Below are 24,554 nucleotides of genomic sequence, written 5' to 3'. Positions count from 1 at the left end.
CCCTCTCATCCCAAGAAGCGAGGGCCTGGCCAGACACCACAGTGCAGACCAGCACAGGGACCCATCCAAGATGCCAGCTTGGAAGGAAGAAGGTGGCATGGGCCTGTGACAGAGAGCTGAACTGAGTGGGACTGCTTAAACCTGAAGGGACAGGGCTCTACTTAACTGTCAAGCTGAGGCTTGTTGTTCCCCAGGGGGTGGGGGTTGTGGGGAGGGAATCCATCTCCTCTGTATACCATGAGCCCCCCCACCTCCCAAAGGAGAGCCCTCGGGTGGGTGCCTGAGCTGCATGCAGGCTGACCTTGGCGCAGGCGGCAGTGACGAGGCTCGCCCACCTGTCTGGGGGCTTGGTCCTGTACAGCTTGTGGGGGATGCAGCTGGGCAGCAGCTCCTGGACAGCCTTGCTCTCTGCTGAGGCGCCGAGCTGCACGTAGCAGTGCCGGGCCAGCAGCTCAACCAGCTCTTCCTCCTGCACAGCCCAGGGCACCCACGGGGGCGAGTGAGACAAGTGAGAGCTCCCCCCTTCCCCAGGATGCCCCTGTCCCGTGGCCGGGCTCTTGCCCCATCACAGGGGAGCTAACCTGTGGCTCGGGCAGGACCTTCCCCCTCCCTGCATGCCCTGACTGGGCCACCATGCAGGCTGGGAATCCCAGAGGCCTTGGCCAGAGCCTCACAGGCCCTCTGCCTGAGGACAACGGCTGCTCTCCAGTTCTGGGGTGGACCCAGCAGGGTTGCTCTGAGTGACAAGGCGTTTCCTCATCTGAGTTCCAGTCCTTGGTTGTCAAGGGAGACCAGTAGCCCCCCTTGCGGAGTTTCTGCTGGGGCCCAGCTGGGCAGCACCCAAGGAGCCCCTTCCCTCTGGAAGACCAAAGCCTCTTGGAGCCTGGTCCCCTGCCACCCCCTGCCCATGCCTCTTCCAGGCGGGCTTCCTGCACTGCTATGGCCGCCTCCAATGGGTCCCGGAACAGCATCTGCCTGACTTGGCACAGGGAGGGTTGTGCCTGCTGCCCCCAGAACTTCAGGGGTACGATCACTCTGCTTTCTCACAATCCCCTACAAAAGAGCTCCCGGTACACTCCGCACGGTCCAGGTGAGAGCCCCTCCCGAGCCCCCCAGTCAGATGAGGGCCCAGGGCTCTGCGGTGACAGGACTTTCCAAGGTCACAATGCCAAGAAGATGGGGAGGTGGGATTCAGACTTAGGTGTTAGGGCTCCAAGGCCATGTTCTTGGCCACCAGATCTCACTGCCCCATAAACAGAGCAGGAGAGGTGAGGCCAGGCAAGGCCTGGGCCCTCTGGGACCTGCTGCCAGAACCACGGACCCCGGAGGCTTGGACATACCTGTGGCCTAAGGGAGGAGGAAACAGAGGCTGGGCCTGGAAGGGACCTACACCCTTGTGACCCCCTTTCCTGCCCCCCCACCTTCTACCTGGCCTCAGAAGCCAGTTGGGTGCCTCCTCTATGGGATGTTTCCTGATGGCAAAGCCTAGGGTGGACCTGGCTCTCAGGCCCCTCACCTTCTCGAAGCTGTACTCGCCAGACCAGACTCCTCGGAGGACTTGGCGGTAAATAAGCTCGGTGCTGACAGGGTCCTCCCGGGAGTCGTGCCAGGGGGTGAAGAATTCCTTCCGGAAGTAGATGCGCCAGGGTGACTGGCGCTGGCTCTCGCCCCTCTCCTGGGCCATCTGCTCACACCGGGCGATGGCATCCATCATGTGGTCGCGCCCGCTGCCCAGGGACCAGAACTGAGGCCAGAGTCGGGGAGCAGGGGTTAGCGGCTGTTGCATGCCCCACCCCACGGGGACGCCCACCGTCAGCGTGTGCACGTAGAAGACAGGGCCTGGGGCCCTTGGAGCCCAGCGTGGGCTGAGTGGACACTGCTGAGCCCGTGTGGACACCTGAAGGGCTTCTCCACACAGCAATGGCCCATCTGCCACTCCCCATTACTCTCCCTGCAGCCCCTTCCCTAAGGAGGCAGACATGAGTCTGGCCGATGTGACTCATCCGGCGCCTCGGTTGGATGACTGGTGTGTGAGTCTGAGGGTGTGGGCGTGGAATTGGGGGTGCCTATGTGGGCGGTGAGGGTCTGTGCTGGTGTGACCCTCCATGTTTGCTGCAGGGGTGTCCACAGCTCCTGGGCATGAGGGAGTTTGGAGCAGGAGACTGGTGTGAGTGCCTGATGTCTGTGCGTGGCTGCTGGGTGGGGGACCAGGTGTGCATGCGGCACTGCTGGGGCTGAGGCGCAGCTGCAAGGTGACCATATGAGTGCGGGAGGAAAGGCTGTTTGCTCTGTGTGTGTGCACCTGCCTGTGCCTGGTGGCTGGGAGGGTAAGCAGTGCTGTGCCTGGCAGCTGGGAGGGTAGGTGGTGGCCGGGCTGGAAAGGTGAGAGGGCTTGAGCCTCAGGGTGCTCTCCCTGGGTGTATGAGGGAGGCGGCTGACGGGCAGGGTGCCTGGCTGGTACCTTGTCGTACACGGCGACCTGGAGGGAGAAGCCCAGGTGGTCGCTGAGGCCCTGCTTGTGAGCGATGTGCATGCACATTTCCCGAGATGTGGAGGCTGAGTCCACGGGGACGGTTAGGCTCTCTCCAGTGGCCAAGATGACTTGGATGGGGATGTGCTTCTTGGACTTGACAGCCTGGGGACAGATGAGATTCAGTTCCCTGGCCTCTTGGAACCTATGGACAGGAGGCCAACCCCCCATCCACTACCTCCCTCCTCTCCCCAGCCCATGGGCCCTGCTTGCCATCCCGTGGGTTCCCAGGGGTGGGCCCTCTGAAGCCCCAGGCCATGGGCTTGGCATAGAAAACAAAATTCAGGCCAACAGGTGTTTGCCGCTGGAAGCACAGCAACCAGGCAAGAGCAATGTTAGCCACAGGCGTCCAGGTCCTCCTGGACCTCCAGTGGGGGCAGCCTGAGGCCATAGTGGCTGCTTTTATGAGAATCCTGAGCTTGGTGTGGTTCAGTGACTTCACCTCACAGAAGACCAGGAGCTCTTGGGAATCTGAGTCCAGGACTCGGGAACATTTTGGGGCCTTTACGTATTGTTCCCTTGTGTCAACATGCACAGCTACTGCAAGTTCACCTACAATTCCAGGGCTCGTGGGAGGGAGCCCCTGTGGGCTCGGGGGCAGGGTGAGAACAGAAAGAAGGTGCAGCGGAAGTGACCCACAGCTCCTGGTATAGGGCACCTCGGGTCACAGGGCGGGCACCTGCCGGGGTTAGGCTGGGGCCAGAGCTTTGTGTAGAGCCGGGTGCAGGTGTGCTCTCGCCACCCTGGCTGGCTGTTCTGAATGACCCTTCCTGAGAAAACAGCGAGAATTCACAGATGACACAGTTGCCAAAGCAGGTCGAGGTGGCACATGTGCCCAATAGCAATGCCACCAAGGATGCCAACCATGGTGTGACTACTGCCCTTGTCACCAAGTGAAATGCCCTTGGAGGGGAGTGCTGGAAGCAACTGGCGCACTGTAATGCTAATGAGTGGGTCCGGTGATCTTCCCCTTAGCTAGTAGGGCCCTAAAGGAATATGGATTTGGAGATGGGGGTCACGCCTGGGGAGGCCGAGCCCCAGGGGCACTCACAGGGACCACTGGCATGGGAGGTACTGCAGAGGAGATGGCGGGGCTCAGAGGACAAAGTTCTGTCCTAGGAGAAGGCACCCCATGAGCTGTGCTGGGGGTCCCTGGGGGTCTGCACCACCCCACCCTGCCCGCTCTCACCCCTGCCAGCCCCTACCTGCAGCTCCAGCCAGGTGGGGGGCTCCGCACGCACCCCATTGGCATAGGTGCGTCTCAGGCGCTCGGCACAGAAGGGGCCGTAGGTCGCCGGCCCTTGGCCGATGAAGTTCAGTAGATACTGGTGGGTGAGGAGGGGAGAAGGGAGGAAGACACTCAGAAAGGAGGCCAGTTTCTACTCACCACCCAGGTGGACTTAAGAATTATAATACTCAGTGTATAATGTGCATTGAGGGGCACCCTCACACCCGTTAGAAGGAACATGGATCAGTGTGTTTCTGAGGAGCAGTTTGGCAACACGTTTTAAACGGTGCATAGTCTTGATGTGTGCACACTCTTTGTCACAACAATGCAGGCCTATCCTAAAGGTGGATGTGTGGTTTTTGATTGTGATGGCCTCTATGGTGATGAATGACTGGAAGATGGACTCTAAATGCCCACCCCCAACCCCAGTGCCTTCTGGAACAGCGAGGCATCAAGCTGGCATTTGGGAGGTTGACACCATGAGAAAACATAATGAAGACAGTAAATGAAAAGTGCAGGGCCAGGCATGGTGGCTCACACCTATAATCCCAGCACTTTGGGAGGCCAAGGTCGGAGGATCACCTGAGGTCAGGAGTTTGAGGCCAGCCTGGCCAACATGGTGAAACCCCATTTCTACTAAAAATACAAAAATTAGCCTGGTGTGGTGATGCACACCTGTAATGCCAGCTACTCGAGAGGCTGAGGCAGAATTGCTTGAACCCGGGAGGCAGAGGATGCAGTGAACCAAGATCGCTCCACTGCACTCTGGCCTGGGCGACAGAGTGAGACTCCGTCTCAAAAAAAAAAAAAAAACAAAAAAAAAAATTGCAGAAGAGTCCATGTCCCCAACATGCTCAAGAAAACACATTGAAGTTCTTTTTGTCTCACAGAGAGATGTTATTTCTTCTGCCTTGGGGTGGGGAGGAACAGCCTGGAAGGGTTTACTGGTGTCAGGAGCAGCCTGAGTGCCATGCGCAGATGGCTTCAGTGACCGTGGTTCCTGCTGTCCCCAAAGGGACATGTGAGAAAGTGTTTTCTGTTTGATCACAAGGACCCTGTAACACCACAAAAGGCCAGAAGGAAATATTAACGGAAGTTAGCTCTGAGTGTGGGGGTGACTTTTATTTTGGTTTTAGATGTTCTGCATTTCCACATATTACTTTTATAATCAGAATTTAAAGGCATATTAAATCAGTGAAGCTTGGGGCCACTAACACTCGGCCAACCCAGCTCCATTTTCAGTCCTAAGAACTAGAAAGAGGTGCCGTGGCACATCTCCAGGCAGGGCCCACTCCTGGACACCTGTCTTTTCAAGGCCCGTGTCATCTACCTTCTCATTTTAGTCTTGAAGCACCATCCTGACACCTGAGCCAAAGTGAAATGGCCCTGCAGACCCTGCGTAGGGGCTGGAAGGAGCCAGGAGCAGGGTCCTCTTTTCCAGATGGGGAAACTGAGTCCTGGAGAAGCATAGGCATGGCTGCCCATCTGGCCTGCAGGAGCAGGAGAAATGGGCCACGTACTGGAATCTGTGGACCTGCTCCAGGGCCAGGGGCCACCTACGCTCCCACCAGAACCTGCCCCCTGCCCGCCCTCCCTTCATGAACCCTCTCACCTTCATGAACCTCTCTGAGGGTGGGAAGCAGCCGAGGCAGAGGCTGAGCAGGATCCAGCCCCGGGCCAGGCTGCTTGTTTTGAAGTTCTCCGAGAGCTGCTTGCAGATCTGGCAGTAAATCTCATCCCTGAAAGACACAGACCATTAGGAGAGTAGGCTGGGGGCTGGAGGAGGAGAGGAGACAGGGGTACCTGGGCACACAGCTCTTGTGCACCTCTGAGAGGTCCCATATGCAGGGCACCTCTCCAGCGCCGGGGCCCTGCCCAGCCTCCTCCTCTCTCAGGACAGTGCCACCAGGCTCTGCATCCCTACTCGATTCCTCTCCCATGGCCTGTGCTCTCGGTCCTTTAGGGTGGGGCTCGGCTTCAGGAAGCAGCAGGTTCTCCAGCCACAGCCCTGTCCTCAGCAGCCGCGCCCTTTGCACAGCCCATCTGCTCCCAGATGTGCGGGATCCCCAGTCTCACGGTGATTACAGTCATTTCTCTCTCTGCCTTGAGGCCCCACCTCCCTCCCTGAATGCAGCCCCTCCCCTCCACAGCAGAGAGAAAAGTGAGGACTTCATGGGAGCCACTCAACCCCATCTCCTGACCATTCCTACTCCCACGGTCTGTGGAGCCTCCCCACTCCTGGTGGGGGTGTGTTGGGGGCGGTTCTCTCCTGCGTCCTTCCCCATGGACTCAAGCCTCTATCATGTTATAAAAGTGGCCCATTAACACCTCAAATGCCACATCTCCAGAGGCCAGCATCTTTCCCCTAATACTCAGTGGTGTGCTGGTAAATGTTTATCAACCAGCTCCCCCAAGAAGAAAAGCCCAATTCACAGCATTTGCTTATTTCTGTGGTGTACATGTTCCCACCAAAGCCAATGTCAACTGCGACACGACATCACCGAACAGAGATGGGAAGCAATGTGCATGGCTGGCTCTCTGAGTTCCTGCATCCCTCCTCTTTCTGTGGTCTACAGGCATCGCCATCAGCCATTCACCCAAACTGGAAATCTGGGGGTCATCCTGGAGCCCTCCCATCCCTTCATTCCTCCAATCCAACCAGCCCCCACCATCCATCCAGCCCCCACCACCCAGCCGGCACCCACTACTCAGCTGGCGCCCACCACCCAGCCGGCCCCCACCATCCAGCCCCCACAACCCAACCAGCCCCCACAACCCAACCACCCCCCACCACCCAGCCAGCCACCACCATCCAACTGGCCACAACCCAACCAGCCCCCACAACCCAACCACCCCCCACCACCCAGCCAGCCACCACCATCCAGCTGGCCACCACAACCCAACCAGCCACCACAACCCAACCGGCCCCCACAATCCAGCTGGCCACCACAATCCAACCAGCCTCTACCATCCAACCAGCCCCCACAACCCAACCAGCCCCCACAACCCAACCAGCCCCCACAATCCAACCAGCGCCCACCATTCAGCCAGCCCCCACAACCCAACCAGCCACCACAATCCAACCAGCCCCCACGATCCAACCAGTGCCCACATGCTACCATCTGTCTCCTGCATGTTTCCTCTGTCCCCTCCTCTTGGCTCCTGTTCCTTGGGCAATTCCTCATCAGCTCTCTCTGGATCTCTGTAGCAGCCCTGCCTGGCCTCCCAGCCCCAGGCTCCATCCTGCCACATCGCCAGGGAGGTCTTTCTGGAAGTCAAATATGATCAAGATCCTCTCTTGCTTAAAACTTTCCCCACTTCCCTTAGGATGGAATCCAAGCTCCATGCCCCAACAATGGCAAACCACTCATAAATTCCAGACCCTGTGGGCTGTCTCAAGGGTGACTGATGCAGGCCGAAAGAGTGAGGGTCGTGATCAGCTCAGTATACCACTGGAGGCTATATGAGCAAACAGCAAACTGTTCTCATAAAAGCAGAATGTTGGCAAACTGACAAACTGCGTCTGCCGCCCAGAAGGAATGCTGAGGGCAGTCACGACCCAGGCACAAGTGTTTCTTGTGATTATCTACAGGGCACACCTGAAGCCTGTTAGTAATAATATGAACCTGTGATCAGTTAAGCAGCTGACCAATCGTTACCTCCTCCTCCCTGCTTATTCTACCCAATAAATACTAAGGGCTGAAGAAGCTTGGGGTGGGGGCTGTCTTTGCTTACTAGGAGTAGGGAGCCCTTTTTCTTCCCCTGGCCCCTTTAAAACAGTTTCTTTTGTTTTAAGTTTTCATTTCTACGTTCATCCCCCTTCGTTCCGTCTCGTAATGACGGTCTCAAGTAGTGACAGTAGTAACTCCCGTAATGACGATCTCAAGTAGTAACAGTGGCAAATTGCTGCAAGTGCTGCCTGGACAGGGACGTAACAGGGACAATCAGGGACAAACAGACCTGAAGGGACCTGAAGAGGCCTGCAGGGACAAATAGAGATAAGTAGGGATAAATAGAAATAGAGACAAATAGAGAGAGCTAGGGAAAGACAGGGACTTGCGGGAACTAACAGGGACTATAGGGACAGATAGGGATAGACAAAGACTAGCAAGGACTAGCAAAGACTAGGAGAAACTTGCAGGGACAGACAGGAACAGATAGGGACAATAGGGTCCTATAAGGACTTGAGCGAGGAAGGTCTGCTGGAGCAAAAAAAAAAAAAACTAAAGCCCAGAAAAAACTAAAACCAACCAGATGAATAAGAAACCCCGTTACAAGGCCGGGCGCGGTGGCTCACGCCTGTAATCCCAGCACTTTGGGAGGCCGAGGCGGGTGGATCATGAGGTCAGGAGATCGAGACCATCCTGGCTAACAAGGTGAAACCCCGTCTCTACTAAAAATACAAAAAATTAGCCGGGCGCGGTGGCGGGCGCCTGTAGTCCCAGCTACTCGGGAGGCTGAGGCAGGAGAATGGCGTGAACCTGGGAAGCGGAGCTTGCAGTGAGCCGAGATGGCGCCACTGCAGTCCGCAGTCTGGCCTGGGCGACAGAGCGAGACTCCGTCTCAAAAAAAAAAAAAAAAAAAAAAAAAACCCCGTTACAAGTCTGCTGGCAGCATAAGGTCAGTGCTTTAAAAAGGTACTGGTCAGTGTCCTAGAGGTACAAAGAACGGGAAGTTTTTCAATCAGGGTAACATGGGGAAGAATTTGGTTCTCTTCTCTTTTTTGTTTGGAGTTTGGTACATACCATTTTCTTGTCATTTCAGGGTTTGAGAGAATTTTTTGCCCCACCTACAGCACCTATCGAAAGTGGTGAACGGGAGAGGAAGGATGAAAATTGGCTTGTACCGTCTTCTTTTGCAGCTACAGAAAGGCGAACTTTAGCTTTGTCTTTCGTGGCTTGTAAACGTGCGCTGGTACCTGTGAGATGTGCAGAGGACTTGGGAGGTTTTCTCAGAGCTTGTCAAGATGTGGGAACTGAGCTTCATTGCTCTGCAATGTTGACTCAGGCAATGGCTAATTTGGTAACTGACAGATCTAAAAGAAGCCAAGGGTTAAGCCCTAAAGTGGGAAAATGTTATAAATGTAGGAAAATTGGACATTTCAAAAAAGAACACCGCCAGACCTCTGGGCAAAAGGGATCTTATAACACGGTTCCCCTCCCAACAGAAAAACACCAAGACTTTGCCCTCATTGCAATAAAGGAAATCATTGGGCTCATCAGTGCCACTCAAAATTTCATCAAAATGGCACCCCCCTGTCGGGAAATGAGAAGGGGGCCTGGACCTGGGCACCTCAAACAATGAGGGCATTCCCCATCCAGGCCACAGCTCTGCTTCAGGGGTGGGTCTCCGGAGGCACATTAATTCCCTCTCTCCAGGAATGCCTGGAAATGCAGGATTGGATCTCCCAGTCGGAGTGCGTTACGTTAACTGGAGGAGACAAACTCACTAAGATTCCCACCGGTATCTGGGGACCTTTGCCAACAGGATATGTGGGATTAATTTTAGGTAAAAGCTGTCTTAATTTACAGGGCATTATTGTAACCCCAGGAGTTGTTGATTCGGATTGTGAAGGAGAAATTCAGGTGGTGGTGATATCACAAGGCCTTTGGGTTTTTGAACCGGGAGAATAAGTTGCTCAACTGTTGCTTATTCCCTGTAAATTGTACCCTTCTCTACGTAAGAAGAAGCGAGGAGGTCAGGGATTTGGAAGTACAACTAGGAGACAGATTTATCTATCACAACCCATAGCATCTAGTAGATCCACTTGTGCAGTGTAAATTGAAGAAAGTAGATTTTGTGGGCTTATGGATACGATCTCTCATGGTAATAGAGCTTGAGGATTTTTTTTTATTGTTATTGCAGGAGAAGGATAAACTCTTGATTTGTTTTCTCTGTGCCTTCTGTTAATCAGAAAGAGCCTGCCTCTTGCTATCAGTGGAGTTTTACCCCGCGGTAATTAACCAAAGAGGCAGAAGCTGAGTTGCAGCTTGTGGAGCGGATGCTTCAGCAACGGCATGCCTCCCGGCTGCAGCCACAAAAGCCTTTGCTTCTGTTTCAGGAGATTTACTATTGTGGGAACGAGGGTATGCTTGTGTTTTCACAGGAAATGAACAAACCATGTAGGTGCCCTCAAGTTGTGTGCGACCATGCAACGGGAGACTGGAGGGACCTGTGGATCCCAACCACGGGCCTGGTTCCCCCAGTACCAGCTGAATGCGAAGACGGAACAAACCACCAACTGGCAATTAAGGGCTGCACAGCCTGCAATTGCCTTTCTCAATTAATTCAAAACAAAAAGGGAGAGATGTTGCAGGCCGAAAGAGTGAGAGTCGTGATCTAGTATACCACTGGAGGCTATATGAGCAAACAGCAAACTGTTCTCATAAAAGCAGAATGTTGGCCAACTGACAAACCGCGTCTACCGCCCAGAAGGAATGCTGAGGGCAGTCACGACCCAGGCACAAGTGTTTCTTGTGATTATCTACAGGGCACACCTGAAGCCTGTTAGTAATACTATGAACCTGTGATCAATTAAGCAGCTGACCAATCGTTACCTCCTCCTCCCTGCTCATTCTACCCAATAAATACTAAGGGCTGAAGAAGCTCAGGGCGGGGGCTGTCTTTGCTCACTAGGAGTAGGGAGCCCTTTTCTTCTTCCCCTGACCCCTTCCTTTAAAAGTTTCTTTTGTCTTCAGTTTTCATTTCTACGTTCATCCCCCTTTGTTCTGTCTCATAACGATGGTCTCAAGTAGTGACAGTAGTAACTATCGTAGCAATGGTCTCAAGTAGTAACCATGGCAGTCTGTCACGGGTGACCCGTCTACCCTTTCCCTCTGTCTGGCAAACACCCCTCCTCCTTCCTTGGCCCAGGTAGGCACTAAGGCCACTCCTCCTTGGTGCACCTGTGGGGCCCTGAACAGACCTCCATCTTAGCACTGGTCCATCTTAGGACCAGGAAATTCACTGGCATTGTGAATTTCCTGGTCCTCTCGTGCCCCCCAGCTAAAGGGTGAGCTCCTCCAGGACAGAGCCATGTCTTCTTCATCTCTGTCCCTGGCCCTCAGGCTGGGGCCTGACCCAGAGTGGGTAATGAGCAAGTGTGTGTGGAATGTGTGACAGATGTGGAACAGGGCATCTGCTTTGTCTGGGAATTTCACCAAGGCCCTGCAGCCAAGGACAAATGGATGCTCATATCCGACGTTCTAAAGAGACACATTCTTGTAGGATTTACTAAAAGGTGGCAGAACTAGTGCAGCCACCAAGCCACCTCCAGCCTGCATAAGGGAAGATAAGAAATTTGGAATGTGATTCCTGGAAGGGACTTCATGGGGATAGAGAGATCTGTGGCCCATTTCCACTCCCTGTAAGTGATGAGGTTGGTGAAGGGGACCCCAGGAGAACTGGGGGCTGCCAGAGAAGAGACCCATGTCACTCCCCATCTGATGCCTGCTGAGCTCCAGAAGCCCATTTGCCACCTCCCAGGGTACTAGAATAGAGCCTGTTGATTGAGTTCTTGCTAGTGCTTGACTTTTGTACTCTGGAGTTAGGGACCTCCATGAACAAAGACATTAGCGCCTGCTTGTTCCTGGAGAATTCTGAGCCCATCCTGATGGGCAAGGAGGAGAGAGGACAGGAGATGGGAGCTGTACATGTACTGTATGGTTGGGCAGGCATGAGCTTCCTGCTGACCAAAAGATGTCGTGGAAGGAGCTGAGCTTCAGGCATCTAGATGGGATCCCACACAAGCAGGCAGCCCATTTTCTAGAAGACCCCAGCAGTAAGAGGCTGTGGGATGTTCCACTTCAGCCTAGAGTCAGTAGGAAGTCTCAAGGGATCAGTGTTGGACAGTATCACTGCTGGACACCAGCACTGTATGGGAGTGCCTATAGGGGGTGTCTGAAGAACCCAAAGTACACATCATTCGAATATAGCTTTTATGTGTCTGCCATATTGGAGGGTGTGGTGTGGTGGCCAGTGAGGATTAACCATGAGAGAATTAGAACCAGCTAAGTCAGAAGACTTGCCCAGCTAGTGTCATGCAGGCAGCTAAAACTTGAGAAGCCCTGTAGTCTTACTGGCTTGAAGAACCAGAGGAGAGAGTTTAGGGTACCCACAGTAGCTTGAAAGTGAGAAGGGAAATCTTGGAATAAAGACAATCAGAGGAGTCCTAAATTTTGCACATAAAATCTTCCCAAATCTCTGGTTGCCCCCTGACACACATGGTGGGGCAGACTCCAGGTACTCTAGCCAAGGCTAAAATAACTAAAAAGGGATTCTAGCTTCTGCTCATCATGGAGGAGACAGAGTTTGAGTCCAGCCAAGGTAGTTGCCTCCTAAAACAAAAAATCAATGCTCTTTGAAAGAGTATAACAGAATCCAGAGTCTCTAACGTATCATCCTCAATGTCCAGGATACAACCCAAAAGTACTAGACTTATGAGGAAAAAACAGTCAAGTACCAGATATATGAGCAAACAAACACACCACCATCCTCAAGAGAAAAGACAGTTAATAGAGACTGACCGTGAGATGACCCAGGTATTGGATTTGCAGAAAAGATTTAAAAACTACTGTAAATCTGCTCAAGGATATAAAGGAAACAATGCTCATAGTGAATGAACAAATAGGAAATCTTGGCACAGAAATATAAAAAAGACACAAATACAAATTCTAGAACTGAAAAATACAATATCTGAAATAAAACATTTGTTGGATGGATATGACAGCAGACTAGGGAAGACAAAAGATCAGTAAATTTGAAGACAGGTCAATAGAAACTATCCAATCTAAAGAACACAGAGAAAAAAGAAAGAAAAGATAAGCAGACCCCTAGGTACCTGAAGAACAATATAAAAGAATCTTACAGAGGCTTAATTAGATTTTGAAGGAAAGGAGAGAGACAGAATGGGGTAGAAAAATATGTGAAGAAATAATGACCAACAGTTTCCCAAATTTTGTTAAAAGTATTAACCTAAAGTAAGTGAACCCCTAAAACACAGTAGTCAGTCCCTTAAAGCAGTGAACAATCAGTCTCTGCATGTTCGGATTCTGCTTCTACGCATTCAGCCAACACGGATGGGAACTGCAGTGTTTGCAGGCTGACTATACGTGTTTCTTCTAATTGGTATAGAAACCCATTCCTATAAAGCAAATTGTATATAAAGCACAAAATGTATAATATAAATGAGGAAGCCATTCATTTACAGGGCCCTGCACTACAGCCTGTTCTAAAAGGAATCACTGGTCCATGATGACTCTTTTCCTAAAACCGGGTTTTACTCATGGCTTTTTTAAAAGGCAGAGCACATAGAGAACCCTCGGTAGCTATGACATCTGCTGTCCTGAGACCCAGCCTGCAGGCCGCAGGACAAGGAGGTGTCATAGGGGTGGTGGGGGAGGCTGTGGCCATGGGCTGAGAGCCAGTGAGGGCATCTGATGCTCTGAATGGGGCCGGGATGGGAGTGGGAACTGACCTGAGGCTGGGCCGCAGGATGGCGTAGCCCACGATGAAGTGCACCTTCTCCAGGTTGGACATGGGCCGGTCTGCACCAAGGCCATCAGGCTCCAATGCCTCCTCTCCAATGTTCAGCTGGCTGGCCACCTTGAAACCCAAAGGCAGCCATCAGGACAGCTATGATTCTCCCCATCTGCCAAGTAGGAAACTGGTGCACAGGGAGGGAAGCAATAGACTGGAACCCTGTAGCAGGCCAGCAGCAGCTGGGAGCAGAGATTCTGTGCTCTGGGCTCACCTGGCCTGTGATCCGGGAGGACCGCTTCAGCTTCATGGAGGAGATATCCTTGGTCCCCTTGTCCTTGCAGCCAGATCTCTGTGGAGGGAGACAGTTCCCGCAGGAAGGTGAGCCTGGGCTCACCTCAGTGATGCTGACCCCACAGCCTCCTGGGGTGGAGCACGTGTCCCTTTCACCCAGCCATTTCCTGGCCCGATTTATAAAGCACCATGCAGTCCCTCAGCTTGGTAGAGCTTTACCACACACACATACAGGTGCGTGTCCCATCCTCACTTCCAGGTGTGGAATCAGAGGCTCAGGGAAGGCAAGAGACTAGACAAAAGCTGCTCAGTGGGTCACCAGCCCCCAGGGAGGGGCTCAGGGCTGTTCTGATCCCAAAGCTTGTGCCTCTCCCCAGTAAACCCCTGGGAGGTGGGACTGGGTCTGAGCCCAGGTGCTTAGGACAGCCCCAGGCCATGGTCATTCTCAGTAAAGATAGCAGATGAAGCAGGATGCTCTGCCACTGCAAGGTGCTCTGCAGGGGATCCGAAGAGCCGGGGTTGAGAGGCCAGGTAGGAGGGAGGGACTGGCTGCAGCCACTACGATCTGTTGCTCTCCTTAGGCAGAGGCCGCCCCTTCTCATGATGGCGTCATGAGAAGAATTTGCTGCCAAAATTGGAGCTCAGTGTGGGACTGAGCTTGGGTGGGGGTCAGCCTGGTCCAGGGCCAGGCACCAGCTCCTGGGTGCGTCAAAGCTGGTTTACCGTGCAGGGGCTGGCCATGAAACACATGAGCTGGCAAAGTCCGTGAGGGCAGTGAGGCTTGCTGGGCTCACTGCTCTGTGTCTGGGGCACGTCATGGATATTTAATAAACACATGCAGGACAGAAAACCTGAGATCTGACCTCTGGGAAGCCAGTCCTGCTTCCCCCCATGTCCACCCTTCAGAGGTGCTGGTTGGCTGGACTGCCTCCCAGAGTCTTTTCCCTGAGTGGCTGCCAGCCTCCAACATGGCCCCCGTGATCCCTGCGTCCTGAAATTCCTGCCCTGTGTGGGCCCCTCCCACAGCCACAGGTATGTGACTTCCAAGACTGGACATTTGCACTTTCCTTCTTGCTTTTCTTCTTGGATCACTCATGTTGAGGGAAGCCATGTTGTGAGGATGCCCAGGCAGCTTTGTGGAAAGGCCCACATGACAAGGAACTGAGGCCTCCCACCAACAGCCATGTGAGTGAGCCCTCTTAGGAGCAGCCCCTCCAGCTGTCAAGCTTTCAGATGACACCATCCCCAGGGGACAGCTTGACAGCAACCTCATGAGGGACCCTGAACTGGGACTATGCAGCTAAGCTGCTCCTGACCCTCAGAAACTGTGTGAGATAATGAATGTGTGCTATTTGAAGCAGTTAGGTTTGGGGGGGGTAATTTGTTACACAGCTACAGATATCTGACACACTCTGGCAGAGCCCATACCTCTAGAGATCAAGGAGTCAGGGCTTGGGCCTGGGCAACTTCTCTGTAATTCCTGGACAAGGTTGGCCATGTGATGGGGCTGCAGGCTCCTTTAGATTCCTATGCAGTTAGTCTGCACACAGGACCCCACAGGTATTGAGCTAAGTCCCAGCTGGTTACCTGGCACATGGGGCAGTCATGGGCTCCTGCCACTGGCGGGCCACTGAGTGCTGTCACTGCATGTAATTCATTTGGACTGTTCTTGGTTAGTTCCACTAACATTACAGCATGGAAATGGACCTTAGGAAGGACTTCTGACCAAAAATGGATGTGAATTAACTTTCATTAGAGGGCAAGGTAGAACATGGGTCAGGAGCTCAGTTTTTGAATTCAGCAGAATGGATTCAAAGCCCAGGTCCCATACACATGTCCACTGCAACTGGGGGCAGGTCATTTCAGCTCTTCATTTCTTTAGCTATAAATAAATATAGTCATCCCTACCTTGTAGGGTTGGCCCACCTGGGAATTGAATTAAGAGTAGCAGCTGGCACAGAGCAGGCTGTCAGTCAGTAACACCTGTTATTGTTATTGTTATGTGCATCTGAATCTGGCTCAAGTCACACCCAATACTCAGAGTCCAGGGCACCCTCTCCGTTAATGACTGTATAATTCAAAAAGCCCGGGATGGGGATTCATGAGCTCCTGAACATGGTTCAATACTGAAAGTGCCTGCACCATGGCCTGGGGGCTGGGTTCCATGGGTAAGGCTGAGGACAGGGCTCCAGGTCTTGTCTCTCCGTCCTGTCCAGCTGCCCCAGGGACTGGGCCCTGGTAGGCACCTGGTAGGTGTCGCCCTCCTCTGCCCGCTGCTGCCCCCCACTTGCCTGTGCAGATCTACTGTGCTGTGGAACCTGGGCACCGTGCTCCCTGCCCAGCGTGTCATGGATCTGCCGCATCACTGAGCTGCCCTGCTGGCTGCTCCTGGCATACAGCACTGGCTCTGGGAGATCACCCATGAACCTCAGGATGACGTTCCATATGACCAGGGCGGCCTGGGGAAACAAGACAGAAGGCCCAGTGGGAACCCATCAGTGACTATGGCCCCTTCCTTCTTTCCCCGAGCCATAGCTCACACCCCAGGCTCGGGGCTGGCCTGATCCACTAGAAGCCAGTGAACCCTGGTACCAAGCAGTCAGTGTCATCTTCGTGGTAAAGCAACGGGTATCGGAGGGGCCGCCGGATGTGTGTGTGGCTGGCTGATTTCTGGAAGTAAGTCACAGCAAACTTGGGGAAGGTGTACTCGGCCAGGCCATCCACATCCTCCTCAGGCTCCTCCGCCATGGGGACTGTGTCCAGGTCAACCTCAAGCAGCTTCTGGGTCTTCGATTCCAGATCCTACGGCCATTGAGGGAGAACACGGGTCAGCAGGGCTTTCAGGTAACAACCAACCCATCAGCTGACTGTCCAGCAGGCCGGGCAGCACGGGGGCTGTTGCATTACCCTGATCCCTCAGGTGCTGGAGACCACCCATCCCCACATTCAGTGGGCTCAGGTGGGCTGCCGTGTGCCAGCACAGGGCTCTCTACACACCCTGCCGGGCAGGGGCAGGGCTCCTGCCCTCTCCCCTCCTGGCCCCACGCTCAGACACTGTGTCCTCTGCCGCATGCACCATCCTCACTGCAGCTTCCTCAGCCACACTGCAGAGCAGCGGCCTCAAAGGTGCTCTGGGGGTGCCCGGGTGGGGTCAAATATACGCGGGGAATGCCATGTGATGGAGAGCCCGGCAGCATTGGTAGAGAAGGCTCCAGGAAGTCTTGCAGGTGGGAAGCCTGCCTGACTCGAAGGCTTTGACCACAGAACCCACGCACGCTCCCCTCTTCCGTGTGGGACCAGCAGGGCTGCAGCACACACTTGGCCACCGCTCTGGCTTCTCAGGGAGCCGAGAGGTGGACTGAGTTCACGGACTGGGCAGGCTTCCCTGTCCCCACCCGGGGCGGATTGTGGACACCAGGCTTGTGTTACCTCAAAGTGCGGCGAGGCCTGGCCCTCCTGGCCCCCAATCATGGCAGGGAGGAAGCCGAACACCTTCTCCACCATCTCCGTGTCAGTGACGGTGTCGTAGATGGATCTGCGCTTCTTGGCAGGGAGAGCGCCTTGGCTTTTCTGCCCCTCGGCCGGGATGACCAGCGGCGCCTGCATACCCCGTGGAGGAAGGTTACCCAGGGGCCCAGCAGGGCTCAGGGGGCCCAGCCCTGCCTACCCCACAGGGCAAGCACCTCCCAGAAGCCAAGTAAGCCTCATCCTGCCATCATTTGTCCAAATCAATATTCTGCTCTGAAACAGTAGATTTTAACAGCTAGTGTGGTTAGAGATCAACCAGCCAGGGCTTTCCCTTTCCCAGTGATAATCAGAGCTCTGGAGAGGTGAGGTTGCTGGCTTGTCCCTACCCTCAGATGGCTCTTAAGGCACCCCTTCAAACTCCAGGGACCCCCAGGAACCCAGCTGCACAACCACTGCTCAGGACCACTTGGTCCCTTTATTCAAAGGGCAAAAAGGGTCCACCAGGACAGGTCCCCAGGGGCTGCAGTAACGAAGTCACAGATAAGGCTGCTTTGCAGGCAGCTGGGGGCATGCGGGTGCAGAAGCATGCTGCTGACGTGTCTATGGGTGCATTCTCTCATTTGCCCTGTTCACTGTATTAGCAGTGTGCTTAGTAGACCAAGTTTTCATCCATGGAGCAGAAGTCAACGTCATCCTAGCCCCTTTGCCTTATCACAACTTCCAAATGAGCCAAGTGTGAAGGTTGAGTCTCGAGTACTCGATGGAGGAAATGGGGTTATTTTCTTGGTGCTGTCCCCCTGCTCAGTGTCCTCCCAGCCCCCCAGACACTCAGCAGCTCCCCTTGGTATTAATATTTCTCTGTCCCCTGAGCTGTCATACACAGCCCAGTAACCAGGACACTTTGCTCTCTTCCATGGAACTGGGGCCTTTCCCAGCTTGTCTGGCTCAGCTTTGCTGCACCTTCCAGGGGACCAACCATCCCTGCCCCAGAAATCATCTCCAAGGTGAAAGGGAGGGGACCTGAGCTCACCTTCCAGGTTCAAGGCTAAGGCTGTCCCATTGACCTGCTGCCTCTCCCATGCTATACCCTGCGTGCTCCTGGGTGGTGGCCACGGCTCCCCAGCCATTGCAGAGCCATTGTAGAACTGACTTTGAATAGGGAGAGGAGGACGGTGTGTCTCTCGTGATAGCTACATCTCAGCCCAGGTGCCTGCTAATTTGCATCTTGTGTCCTGTATCCTTGCTGTGCTCTTGAGTAATTGAACAGATTTTAACGTCTTGGCTTGTGGCGGGGGCGGGGGGATTTTCCAAAGCGCTTCTGGTGAGCTCTCTACACAGCCGCTCACTCCTTCTTGCCCTCACCCACTGGGGCCCCAGCCAGCCCCACCTGCCCAAGAGGCCAGGTGACCACCTACATTGGCCTTCCTTTGCTGGAAGTTGCGCCGGGCAGCCATGCCCCTGGCATGGGCCTGAATGACCACCACTGCCCTCCTCTTGGCCTGGACTTGCTGGCGCACCAGGTATCCCCTGCACAGGGCCTGCAGCTGGACTGTCCTCTGCCGCATGGCCTGGTACTGCCTCGCCAGCGGCTGGCTCCGGGCAATAGCCTGCAGGCGCTCAAAGCCCACGAGGATCTGCGGAGGCAAGAGAGAGGTGAGATCAGGGGCAAGAAGGCCTTCCCCAGGAAACAGAGAGGGGTGCTCCCCAGGAGGCAGTGCAAGATAGATTTACAGTTAGTTTTGTTTTGGCAAAGGGCCGGTGCTAGAATGGTACACACCTATGAACACAAGAATAGTGAGTTATTGCTTACAAAGTACTTAGGCCAGAGCGTGACATGCAAATAAGTGCTAAATAAGCATTTGTGAAATAGCATAAATAATAAAGTGGCCTCCTTGGGGCCGTGGATGGAGAGAATTGGTGTGGATTTCACATGGGTGAAATGGGAGAGTGGATTCCTGAGGCCCTGCTGTCCACATCTGCCAGCCAAGTTCAGCTGACTTGCTCACGGGCTAGCACACCCGTGTGGAGGCCTGTGGCCACTCAAATCCCTGAGGGCATCTTTAAAGTAAAAGTGCAGTAATAAATGGATGAACACCACGTCAGTGCCGCAAACATCCCCTGGGCCACAGCAGTCCCTGGGCTTCCTAAAGACCTGCCCAACGGGTTGGCTTAAGAGCTTGGAAGTCACAGCCCCTCATCTAAACCCCAACTCTGGGGTTTACTAGTCTCATGCTCTTGGGGAAACTGCTCAACCCCTCTATGTCTCAGTTCCTTGACGTACAGAGTTGGTTTAATATTAAATAAAATGATGTATGCGAAGCAACAGGCCCCAAGGAACTGCTCCACACAGGTCAGCTACTATCATGCCATTGGTGGGCATGGAATGCAGGCAGGCTGGGCCAGTCTTGCTGATGTGACCATTTCGTGTCATAACCAGTCACATCCGTGACAAAAGCAAGTGGCCAAGTGACACAGGCACAGCCATGGTTGCTCTAGTTCATTCCTTTGAGCAGATACTCATTAGCAAATGCCCGTGGTTAAGAGAAAAAATTAGGAAAAGGTACTTGGAACAAAGAATAATCAATCCATTTGCTTATTTGTTGCCTGCAAGTTGGGAAAAGACAGGAGGTATTCCATTCCAGAGCAGGACACCTAGTCTAGCTCTGAGGATGCTCCAAATTCTGCAAAACATTTTGAAGCCTGCAGACCATGGGGCCAGAGATTATGCTAAGAAGAGACTGTGTGGGATGCTGAGGTCTGATCATTTTAAATTTGCATGCCACGTCTGTGAATGATTTGATCCTTCCTGCCTGAGGTCTCTCATTCAGAGAAACAAACTTTACAAATCTGTCTTTTACTGGACAGTTACCCGCTGGTCCCGCGGCCCAGCCGCCCCAGAGAGCTCTCTCACCAGCTTGAAATTCCTCCTGTTGCAGTAGCCTCTCCACCAGGCCTGCAGGGTCACAGCTGCCCGCCTCTGCCTCAGGAACTCCTTCCTAGAAGGGCAATGCAAGCCACACACATGTAACAATCCCAGATGGTTTAAAGCTTCTGAGGGAGAAAAACTGGTTTGGAAGGGAACAGGGTTAGTGAAATATTGGGAAAAATGAATACGTACAATCCTTTCTCAGAAGGTGTTACAGACCAAAAGACGCACAGGCAGGTTAGGAACAAAAAATCTACTATCAGCAACCCAAATTTGTGGATGATGACAGTCCAGTGTTTTTTGTTTTTTGTTTTTTTAGATGGAGTTTCACTCTTGTTGCTCAGGCTGGAGTGCAATGGCACGGATCTCGGCTCACTGTAACCTCCACCTCCCAGGTTTGAGCAATTCTCCTGCTTCAACCTCCTGAGTAACTGGGATTACAGGTGCCTGCCACCACGCCCAGCTAATTTTTGTATTTTTAGTAGAGATGGAGTTTCACCACGTTGACCAGTTTGGTCTCAAACTCCTGACCTTAAGTGATCCACCTACCTCGGCCTCCCAAAGTGCTGGATTACAGGCGTGAGCCACTGTGTCCAGCCAACAGTCCAGTTTTTTTAAGTTATCAGAAAATTCTCCCTCATTCCCTCTACCCCCAAAGAGCTACAAAAGGATAAAACTTACTTCCGCATTTTTATTGCAGACGGCCCTCCTCTGGCCACTAGCCCAGGGCTGGACACGGAGAAGAAAACCTGAAAGCTGGGCTCTGGCGAGACGGAGTCACTCCCAGGCAAGCTCAGTGCATATAGAGATGCAGGCATGCCTCAGTTTATTATGATGTTACTTTGCTCTATTGCACTTTGCAGATATTGTGTTTTTAGAAATTGAAGGTCTGTGGTAGCCGTGTGTTGAGCTAGTCTATTGGTATCATTTTTCCAACAGCATGTGGTCACTTCATGTCTGTATAACGTTTTGGCAATTCTTGCAATATTTCAAATTTTTCATTATTATTACATCTGCTGTGGTGATCTGTGATCTTTAGTGTTACAATTGGAATTGTTTTGGGGCACCACAAACTGCACCCATATAAGATGGGAAACTTAACAAATGTGTGTGTTTTGACTGCTCCACCAACCAGTAGTGCCCCATCTCTCTCTCTTTTCTCTGTTTCCCTGTTCCCTGAGACACAGCGATACTAAAATTAGGCCAGTTAATAACTCTATAATGGCCTCTAAGTGTTCATGTGAAAGGAAGCATCTCATGTCTCTCACTTTAAATCAAAAGTGAGAAATGATTAAGCTTCGTGAGGAAGGCCCGTCCAAAACTGAGACAGGCCAAAAGCTAGGTCTCTTGCGCGAAACAGCCACGTTGTGAATACGAACGAAAAGTTCCTGAAGGAAATTAAAGGTGCTACTCCAGTGAACACATGAATGATGAGAAAGTGAAACAGCCTTCTTGCTGATATGGAGACAGTTTTCGTGGACTGGATAGAAGATCAAACCAGCCACAACATTTCCTTAAGCCAAAGCCCAACCCAGAGCAAGATCCTAATTCTCTTCAATTCTGTGAAGGCTGAGAGAGGTGAGGAAGCTGCAGAAGAAAAGTATGAAGCTAGCAAAGTTTGGGTCATGAGGTTTAAGGAAAGAAGCCACTTCTATAACATAAAAGTGCAAGGTGAAGCAGCAAGTGCTGATGGAGAAGCTGCAACGAGTTATCCAGAAGATCTAGCTAAGGTCATTGATAAATGTGGCTACACTCAACAACAGATTTTCTTTCTTTTTTTTGAGATGGAGGCTCCCTCTGTCGCCCAGGCTGGAGTGCAGTGGCGTGATCTCAGCTCACTGCAACCTCCACTTCCCAGGTTCAAGCGATTCTCCTGCCTCAGCCTCCCGAGTAGCTGGGACTACAGGCTTCCACTACCATGCCCGGCTAATTTTTTGTATTTTTAGTAGAGATGGGGTTTCACCATATTGGCCAGGCTGGTCTCGAACTGCTGACCTTGTGATCCACCCACCTTGGCCTCCCAAAGTGCTGGGATTACAGGCATGAGCCACCACACCTGGCCAACAGATTTTCAATGTAGACAAAACAGCCTTATATTGGAAGAAGACGCCACTAGGACTTTTCTAGGTAATAGAGAGGTATAGAGAGTTCAGTGCCTGGCTTCAAATCTTTAAAGGACAGTCTGACTCTCTTATTAGCAGCTTATGAAGCTGGTGACTTTAAGCTGAAGCCAATGCTAATTGACCACTCTGAAAATCCTAGGGCCCTTAACAATCACGTTAAAGCTACTCTGCCTGTAATCTAGAAATGAAACAACAAAGCCTGGGTGACAGCACATCTATTTATAGCATGGTTTACTGAATATTTTAAGGCCACCATTGAGACCTACTGCTCAGAAAAAAAGATTTCTTTCAAACTATTACTGCTCATTGACAATTCACCCGGCCACCCAAGAACTCTGATGAAGACATACAAGGAGATTAATGTTGTTATGCCTGTGAACAAAGCATCCATTCTGCAGCCCATGGATCAAAGGGTAATTCAGACTGTCAAGTCTTATTTAAGAAATAAATGCCATAATGCTATAGCTGCCATAGATAGTAATTCTCCTAATAGATCTGGGCAAAGTCCATTGAAAACCTTCTGGAAAGCTTTCACCATTCTAGATGCCACTAAGAACATTCATGATTCAGGAGAGGAGGTCAAAATATCAACATTAACAGGAATTTAGAAGTTGATTCCAATCCTCATGAATGACTTTGAGGGGTTAAGACTTCAGTGGAGGAAGAAACAGCATATGTAGCGGGAATAGCAAGAGAATTAGAAGTAGAAGTGGAGCCTGAAGATGTGGCGAATTTGCTGCAATTTCATGATAAAACTTGAATGGATTAGGAGTTACTTTTTTTTTTTTTTTGAGACAAGGTCTCACTCTGTCGCCTAGGCTGGAGTACAGTGGTGCAATCTCGGCTTACTGTAACCTTCACCTCCCAGGCTCAAGTAATCCTCCCACCTCAACCTCCTGAGTAGCTGGGACTACCGGTGCACATCACCACGCCCGGCTAATTTTTTGTATTTTTAGTAGAGATGAGGTTTCACCATGTTGCTCAGGCTGGTCTTGAACTCCTGAGCTCAAGTGAGCCACCTGCCTCAGCCGGTCACAGTGCTGGGATTACAGGCATAAGTCATCTTGCCAGCCAGGAGTTGCTTCTTATAGATGAGCAAAGAAAGTGTTGTTGTTGTTTCCTTTCTTTGTTTTCTTTTTTGGAGACAGGGTCTCACTCTGTCATTTGGGCTGGAGTGCAGTGGCGTCATCAGAGCTCAACATAACTTTGAACTCCTGGCCTCAAGGATCCTTCCACCTCAGCCTCCCAAATAGCTGGACTAGAGGCATGCACCACCATGCCCAGATAATTTTTGTATTTTTCTTTTGTAGAGATGAGTTCTCACTACGTTGACCAGGCAGGTTTTGAACTCCTGGCCTCAAGTGATCCTCCTGCCTTGGCCTCCCAAAATGCTGGGATTACAGGTATGAGCCACCGTGCCTGGCCAACACTTTCTGATGTCATTCTACATGTATGTAGAGAAAATAAGAAAATTGTATTACATATGAGAGAAGGTAAATGGACATAAAAGGGGGTAGAGTTTCTATACTTCACTGGAAGTGGTAAAATGATGACAGCGGTAGATACTTTCTCTCTGTGTGTATGTGTATAGTGTGATACCTAATGCAACCACTTTAGAGAGCTATAAAAAAGATATATACTCTAACACATTGTAGATAAATCAAAATGAAATACTTAAAAATTTTTAAATAAGTCATAGAAAGGCAAGAAAAAGAAAACATAAAAATGCGAAGGAGAGAGGAAAAAAATAGAAAACAAAAAATAAAATGGCAGACTTGAGCTCTAACATGAATAATTACATTAAATGTAAAAGGCCTAAATACAGTAAGTCCTCAATGTTGCTGATACCTTCTTGGAAACAGGCTTTGAGTGAAATGATATGTAATGGAACCAACGGTTTTCTCATCATTATAATGAAACCACATTGAAGGGAACAATGATATTCGAACACCTGCTGTATATTCTTGGAAAGTCATAGTTTCCAAGAATCTGTTGATGATGTTAAGGGAGAATTTAATGTATGCCAATGACATACACTGGCAGAATGGATTGAAAAACATGACCCGATTACATACTGTCTATGAGAAACTCACTTAACATATAGTTATATAGGTAGGCCGAAAGTAAAAGGATGAAAAATATAGATCATGTAAATAGTAATCAAAACAGGAGTGGCTATATTAATACCAGATAAAGTAGACTTCAGAGCAAAGGAGATAACCAGAGACAGAGAAGGATATTACATGATAATAAAAAGCACATCCACCAAGACATAGCAATCCTAACTGTGTGTTCACCAAACAACAGAGCTGCAAAATATGTGAAGCAAAAATGATAAAACTGAAATGGAAAAGGCAAATCCACAATTATAATTAGAGACTCTCTCAACAATTGATAAAACACATAGACAGAAAATCAGCAACAATATAGACTTCAACACCTCTATCAACCAACAAGATCTAATTGACATTTTTCAGAGCACACCTCCGAATTAACAGCAAAATATAT

The 24,554-nt window shown here is 51.6% G+C and overlaps 1 protein-coding gene across 13 annotated transcripts in view, besides 1 other annotated feature; it reads right to left on the bottom strand.

Moving 5' to 3' along the window:
- The window catches only part of MYO7B (myosin VIIB), a 102,044-nt gene that overhangs the window by 11,890 nt on the left and 65,600 nt on the right, over positions 1–24,554 (bottom strand). For 5 of the 13 annotated variants that reach the window (XR_001738748.2, XM_047444435.1, XM_017004169.2 and 2 more), the window contains 12 exons: positions 19,909–19,993; positions 18,413–18,631; positions 16,959–17,138; positions 16,122–16,331; positions 15,821–15,988; positions 13,510–13,587; positions 13,234–13,361; positions 5,371–5,497; positions 3,736–3,855; positions 2,462–2,635; positions 1,517–1,744; positions 336–469 (listed from right to left, as the gene is read on the bottom strand). Coding sequence is in view for 12 of the 13 variants with exons in the window: in XM_047444435.1 (XP_047300391.1) it covers positions 336–469; positions 1,517–1,744; positions 2,462–2,635; positions 3,736–3,855; positions 5,371–5,497; positions 13,234–13,361; positions 13,510–13,587; positions 15,821–15,988; positions 16,122–16,331; positions 16,959–17,138; positions 18,413–18,631; positions 19,909–19,993 (1,851 nt within the window). In the remaining variant the exon portion in view is untranslated. Of the gene's footprint in view, positions 1–301; positions 470–1,516; positions 1,745–2,461; positions 2,636–3,735; positions 3,856–5,370; positions 5,498–5,584; positions 5,833–13,233; positions 13,362–13,509; positions 13,588–15,820; positions 15,989–16,121; positions 16,332–16,958; positions 17,139–18,412; positions 18,632–19,908; positions 19,994–24,554 lie in introns of those variants that run through there. The other 8 variants (XM_047444437.1, XM_011511218.3, NM_001393586.1 and 5 more) reach the window with 7 other exon arrangements.
- Positions 5,589–5,638: an enhancer, noted in NCBI's record as "active region_16497". NCBI's record gives its function as "activates an Ori minimal core promoter by ATAC-STARR-seq in GM12878 lymphoblastoid cells {active_cell/tissue: GM12878}" and the evidence as "EXISTENCE:reporter gene assay evidence [ECO:0000049][PMID:35858748]".

This window comes from Homo sapiens, chromosome 2, assembly GCF_000001405.40.
Source record: "Homo sapiens chromosome 2, GRCh38.p14 Primary Assembly".
Lineage (NCBI taxonomy): Eukaryota > Metazoa > Chordata > Mammalia > Primates > Hominidae > Homo > Homo sapiens.
The sequence above is the reverse complement of the archived record's forward strand: the minus strand, read 5'-3'. Positions and strand labels throughout refer to the sequence as shown.